The following is a 6,371-nucleotide window of genomic DNA, read 5'->3' as shown; positions in this document are numbered from 1 at the left end:
GCCCTGGACTTCGAGGTTGCAGTGAGCTATGATCGCACCATTGCACTCCGGCCTGGGTGATAAGGTGAGACCCTATCTCTGAATTAAAAAAAGAAAAAAAGAAAGAAAGAGAGAGAGAAAAAAACCTACCTGACAGACAGCCTCATTAACACTCACTAAATATGCTAGGTTCAAGCACATAACTTTCTCCTTGTAAATATTATTTATACATCAGCCTCAAGTTCTCTTTTGTGAGAGGCAACCAGCTAATGACACCATCCTTCGTGATCAGAACAAACATTACTTTTTTTGGAAGCATTTCCTAAGCCTCTCCTGATCATTCAGAGACTCTTCTCTATGCTTTCCCCAGAATACCTATCCCGTCCACCTCTTTTACATCTCTCATAAATCTATAGCAATCATAGATCTCCTGTAATCTTCCATTAATATGAACACTTTGGTCATAGAGACTTTAACTTGTTCACTTCTCTATTCCTAGTGCCTAACATGGCATCTCACCCTGGTAAGCATGCAATATATGTTTGTTAAAAGGATGAATGTAAATAAGCATCTGTTTGATGGTCACACTCATACTTATCTTCTCCCCATTTCATCTTCATTTTCATCTCTATGCTTCTAGCTACCTTTCTTTAGACATTTGTCAGCCTTTTACTATCATTTCTCTTTATGCCAGATGAGTTTGCAATTCTTAATAATAAGATAATTCCCAGAAACTCCTTAATTGCTTTCATTTTTTACCATAATGCTCAGGGGCACAGAACAAAGGCTAGGTCTATGCATTACAAAGTGAAGGGAGACTTGGCACTCTGATCCATGTAGATAACCAACCCAAATAATTTCATTCCTGCAATAGAGAAGGTAAGTGACTTTAACATTGCACTTTATATTTATTAAGAAACACAACATTGCTGGAAATTGTGTGGCTATTTCAGACTGAGTTATCTCTAGGATATTTACTTAGATCGAATTAATGAAATGTGTGTTGAGTTTCCACTTCCCATTTTGCATACTCATTGTCTAAATGGTGAGAGATTTTTTCCTGAAATATCAGCACTGGGAAGAAGGTATAAAATCTGTTTCACATCTTTAAAGGAGTTCTGTTATGTTACTGGGAGGCAAGGGGGAAGCAAAAACAAGAAAAAACTTGGATTTGAACTAGGTTTATTACTAGGTAAGGCCCAAATTACCATGTTACACATCATGAAACCATAAATAATATTAAACTTTTCTGCTTAGCTTATCATATTAACTCTGATAAAGTTTTATATATGTAATATTATGTTTTTTTAAAAGGAAGTAAAATGTTAGGCTTTCTATTATTTTCTAGAATTAAAAACTTTGTTAATAGGATTACAGCAGGCATAGAGTACATCATGTAGTAACTTAAACGCATACTTCTTTTTTAAATGGTCACAAAAAAGTCGAAGTTAAACAATATTTTGAGATTACTGGCTAATGTTGCTAAACTATTCAAATGTAATGCTTTGCAATGATTTATTCCCATATTTAGAATGATACTTAGAAAAATTAAGTACAAAGAAAAATAAAAATGTACACTATTATATAAATATTTTTGTGACAAATAACATTGCAGAATATGTTTTAAAAACTGGATATTCCTTTCTGCTTGAAAATAGATTATTAATTAATTTATTTATTAATTTTAGACAGAGTCTTGCTCTGTCTCCCAGGCTGCAGTGCAGTGGCGCAATCCCAGCTCACCGCAAACTCCACCTCCTGGGTTCAAGGGATTCTCCTGCCTCAGTCTCGTAAGCAGCTGGGATTACAAGTGTGTGCCACCATGCCCAGCTAATTTTTGTATTTTTAGTAGAGACGGGGTTTCACCATGTTGGTCAGGCTGGTCTCGAACTCCTGACTTCAAGTGATCCACCTGCCTTGGCCTCCCAACGTACTGGGGTTACAGGTGTGAGCCACTGTGCCCAGCCTGGGAGGAACTTTTTAAAATAATGCTTCTGGTCCTTGAGAATGCGCGTAGGAGAATGTATGTTTTATTCGCTGAACCAAAAACAAAACAACGCATCAGGAAAAAGTAAACCATATATCATGTGAGTATTGTCTTGCCTATTCAAGACATCTGTTCTCTAGCAGTTTGTAGAATATCCATTTCATTTTTTTTTTTTTTGGTAACTGCTAGATACATCTTGCAAAGTGACAGGATTGCAGGGGTTTGAGGACACATGATGATAGTTTCCTTCCATGTAGGAGACAAAGAGGCCAACCTGCAAAGGGACTTCTGTGAACTGGGGCCTCTGGCCAATTTTCAGGAAAACTCTTCTTCCTCCTTGAAGTAGTCTTTAATGGAACTAGAATCAAGCAGCTAGATGTCTGTTACCCTTCTCCTGGTTCTTCACAAGGTCTGGTAGATTATTTTCCACCAAAGGTCAACAAATCCTGGAGAGCAAATCATATCTGATATTCAGGGTCAAAGGCATTTACATCCTGTAATCAAATTTCAGGTGTATTTTTCTACTGAACTTTTCTAAATTTTTTCTGTCGCTCACTGATAGAAAAGTGTGGAAAGAAGAGTACTCTGGTGGCGGGAAGATAGGATTATCACCCAGGATCTGATAGGAGTATGATATTGATGAGAGGCAAGTCATTTTATTATTGTGCTTATAAAATGAGATAACATATAACATTTTTATAAACTATTAAGATGGCAGCTTTATATATTAACATTATTAATAATTTGAGTCAGCCCTGTAATTTTTGTTTCTTAGTATTTTCTTACAATTTTCCTGTTACTATTCTTAAAATAAATTTAGTTTTTCCAAGAATGCCTAGTGAGTACAGAAATTTTACTTTTACTTCCTTTAACTTTATCCACATTACCAAGGGTATTTCTATCCATCCAGTATTTATTGATGAATTACAAGTAGTTCAATAGGTATTATGGACGTTCACTGATATTTGGAAGCCATCTGACCCGTTGCTGTTTATCATCTTACTTTCTTTTATCAGATGCTCATAGTAAACTTGGCATGATAGTTCAATTACAAGATTTCTTTTAATGAATCAATCAATTAAGCAGTCGAGTTTTCTTTTTCTATGAAAAAAATGATCATTTGCTATCATAACAAAGGTCACAGTTGGGTAGAATCATATCTATGAAGTATGTTAACATTATAAGAATTTCCACAAAATTAATTTTTTTAAGCAATGATCATTGTTATTTTAGGTGTCCTTGTTCCAAGACACCATACTGTAATGACCTACATGGTTTGTGCTGGGTAAAATCATTGCTTTATGTTTTCATGGTCACTATAGCCCAATTGTTCCCAATTCTGTGCCTGCACTCTTTTGGCTTTTAGTGTCTTTTTCAGCTAGCAATAGCATAAGGCTTTGCCTCTAAAATAACAACAGTATCACGTCAAAAAGGAAAATGGGCTTCATTGTACCTGTGGTTTGATGTAATGGTTGTTAGGCACGAATCCACAGAGAGAAATTTCATATAGCTCAGAGACATTCAACATCTGCCATAAGCCTTGACCCTATTCTACAACAATGTCTATAAGCTTTGGGGAAACATGTTATTGAAGGATGTCTGATTCCAAGAACCATCACAGCTGTCACTGGGGTTTAGTCTATCCACTGGCTGATATGCTTATCATAAACCGCAAACCTTATATCGACTCTTGTTCAGATCTTGACTGTTCCCATTATACCAGAAAGAGTTAGAAAATAAACACTTGTAGCAGTTTCCACTTAATGCTTTTTAGAATTGTGTTGGCTAGACAGCAAATCAAATATTCCCCTCCCTTCTTCCCTCCCTTTCTACACTTCCATTAAAACAAACACACAAAAATCAAATAAAGCATCAGATCATAGATATTTGTGGTCACACTGCCAATGCTTGGAACTTGAAAATTGGACCTAAGGAACAGATATGATTTTCGCCAGTGGAGATATGTAAATCAGCAAATCAGCACAAGCTCATAGGATGAGACCTAAAAAAAAAGAAAAAAAGTCAGGCCTGGCAGAAATTATGCTCTTTGAAAGTAAGAATTTAAACAACGCTGTGACTGTAAGTATCAGTGCTATACTACTGGTATTTGTGACAGTCAGACAGATCATCACACATATACAGGGCAAGAAAATCTAGAAAAATAATGGAACTATTTTTTCAACTTATCAAATAGGTCAATCACCTTATCTGAGAAAGTCTGTTAATTAAATAGCTTTTCGTATCCCCATGTTTCTATGGTCATTTTTAATTCTCATAAAACTGCTGTGATTGTATTACTACCAATAAGAGCTAAGATTGTATTCTTATGGGCATCACTCCACTCTATGTTTAACTAGGAAGAGCTACACCTAGAACCTGGCAGTGTTCATTTTACACACTCTAGGAAGTACGCTTGGCACAGTATACTTACCTAAGCCCACTCCCTCTATCATCTTAACCATGGATCTTGCACACAGTATGGACTTCACAAAGGAAAAGATGAACATCTAGATTCCTGCTGCTTGTTTGCTTCTCTGTGCCAACAGCTTAACTTCCATTATGGTTTTGCTTAGGCCAGTCGGGGAATCATTTTTGGCCTCTGAGGAGTCTCTTAAAAACAATTAACAATATCTTCATTTCTCTGATATTATGCAGCTTATTGTAGAACCTAATTACCAATCATTGTTGAGTCATCGGTTCTGTTATTCCTATTGATACATTTCTGTTAGCTATCCTTGGATGTACTATGTTGTCACATCTATGCTTCCCACACTTAAAATTCTCTAAAATGCTATTATAATCAGGGTAAAAGTTGTCCTTTTAAAACATTTTCTGACTCCCCTCACCATTGAGCAGATTTTCGTGAGACTCCATGAGCTTCTCTGTGAGATCACACTCTACTTGTCCTAGGCTGACAAGTGACTTCACAGCAACCATATGGTGGTAAAGCCATTCATATAAAAAAGCCTTTTTCATGAGCTGTAAGTTGGTCTGTAAAAATGTGTTTTGTTAATGTGGCTATAACAACAAATTTCTTCTGCTCAACTTCTATATGCAATTAAAAAAAAAGTTTCTCACGAGTTTTATCAGATCCATGGATTCTGGGGAGCATGGCTTTCCGTGCTCTTCCACCCCAGACTGCCACTGATCCACTGCCAACCGTGAATGATCTTGATGCCAGTCGTGTGTGCTGCAGGCCCCTGATTTCTAAGCCTGGCTTTATGACACAATTATCAGGGGAACCACATTAAAACGCTGATTCTTATGCCCTATATTCTACCCCATACCTACTGAATTTGAAACTCGATGGCAGTGGTAAGGTGAGCAGTTCTCAGATGAGAACGTTATTAGTCTTTATGTTTTTTGAAACAAATTACCCCTCTAGTCAACCCAATCCTAGTCCGCTTATTTGCATTTGAGAATTACTGTTTATTTGGTGTGAAAGCAAAGCAAATTTTGCAGGACAAGATATCAGTCCTCTGGTAAAGCTAAGGTAAAGGTAGCTATCCTTGTGCTTCCCTTTCATTTTGTGGGACTGCATTCTGTCATGAAAAGAGATTTGATATGTTTGACATGGGTACATCAGATGGTAATTACACTAAAAAATGAATTCATGATGACTTTCCTATTGTAGACACAGAGTATCCATATTGTTTGCTAAGTATCAGAAGACCTTTCATTCATTATAAATGATTATTTACTGGGAGCCCACCATATACCAGGCACCATACAGGTGTTCTGTTTCTCTGATTATACCCTGAATGATATACCCATTGTCATGTGTAATTAAGAATTAGTAGGCCACGCGAGGTGGCTCACGCCTGTAATCCCAGCACTTTGGGAGGCCAAGGCGGGTGGATCACGAGGTCAGGAGATCGAGACCATCTTGGCTAACATGGTGAAACCCCATCTGTACTAAAAATACAAAAAGTTAGCCTGTCGTGGTGGCAGGCGCCTGTAGTCCCTGTTACTCGGGAGGCTGAGGCAGGAGAGTGGCGTGAACCCAGGAGGCAGAGCTTGCAGTGAGCCGAGATCACGCCACTGCACTCAGCCTGGGCGACAGAGCAAGACTCCGTCTCAAAAAAAAAAAAAAAAAAGAATTAGTGATATAGATAAATCCCGAAGAAAATATCACCCAAATACTTGAATGAAATGTTCTACAGAAGTTCTTGACATTGTAATCAGATAAGCAAAGCACAAACCCACTTTATAAAGTATGAAAATGACTTTATACAATAAATGTTTCATTATGATAGTGTCTATGGGTGTGACATAATGTCTAGGGGCCAAGGTACAGCATGGAGTCTTCCCTGAGAGGTAGATAAGAAAGCCTTAAAAATGTAAAAGTGTACTTAGGACACAGAAATATTCACCAGTAGTGGGTGTATAAAGACATCCTTAAAGC

At 37.3% G+C, this 6,371-nt stretch overlaps 1 long non-coding RNA gene across 1 annotated transcript; it reads right to left on the bottom strand.

Moving 5' to 3' along the window:
* Positions 1-1,144: 1,144 nt before the first annotated feature.
* On the bottom strand, positions 1,145-5,052 carry LOC124904229 (uncharacterized). The gene is made up of 2 exons (XR_007066242.1): positions 4,398-5,052; positions 1,145-3,968 (listed from the first exon to the last, which is right to left on the bottom strand). It is a non-coding gene; the product is annotated as an uncharacterized LOC124904229 (long non-coding RNA).
* Positions 5,053-6,371: the final 1,319 nt, after the last annotated feature.

The sequence above is a fragment of the Homo sapiens genome, chromosome 1 (assembly GCF_000001405.40).
Source record: "Homo sapiens chromosome 1, GRCh38.p14 Primary Assembly".
Taxonomy (NCBI): domain Eukaryota; kingdom Metazoa; phylum Chordata; class Mammalia; order Primates; family Hominidae; genus Homo; species Homo sapiens.
The sequence above is the reverse complement of the archived record's forward strand: the minus strand, read 5'-3'. Positions and strand labels throughout refer to the sequence as shown.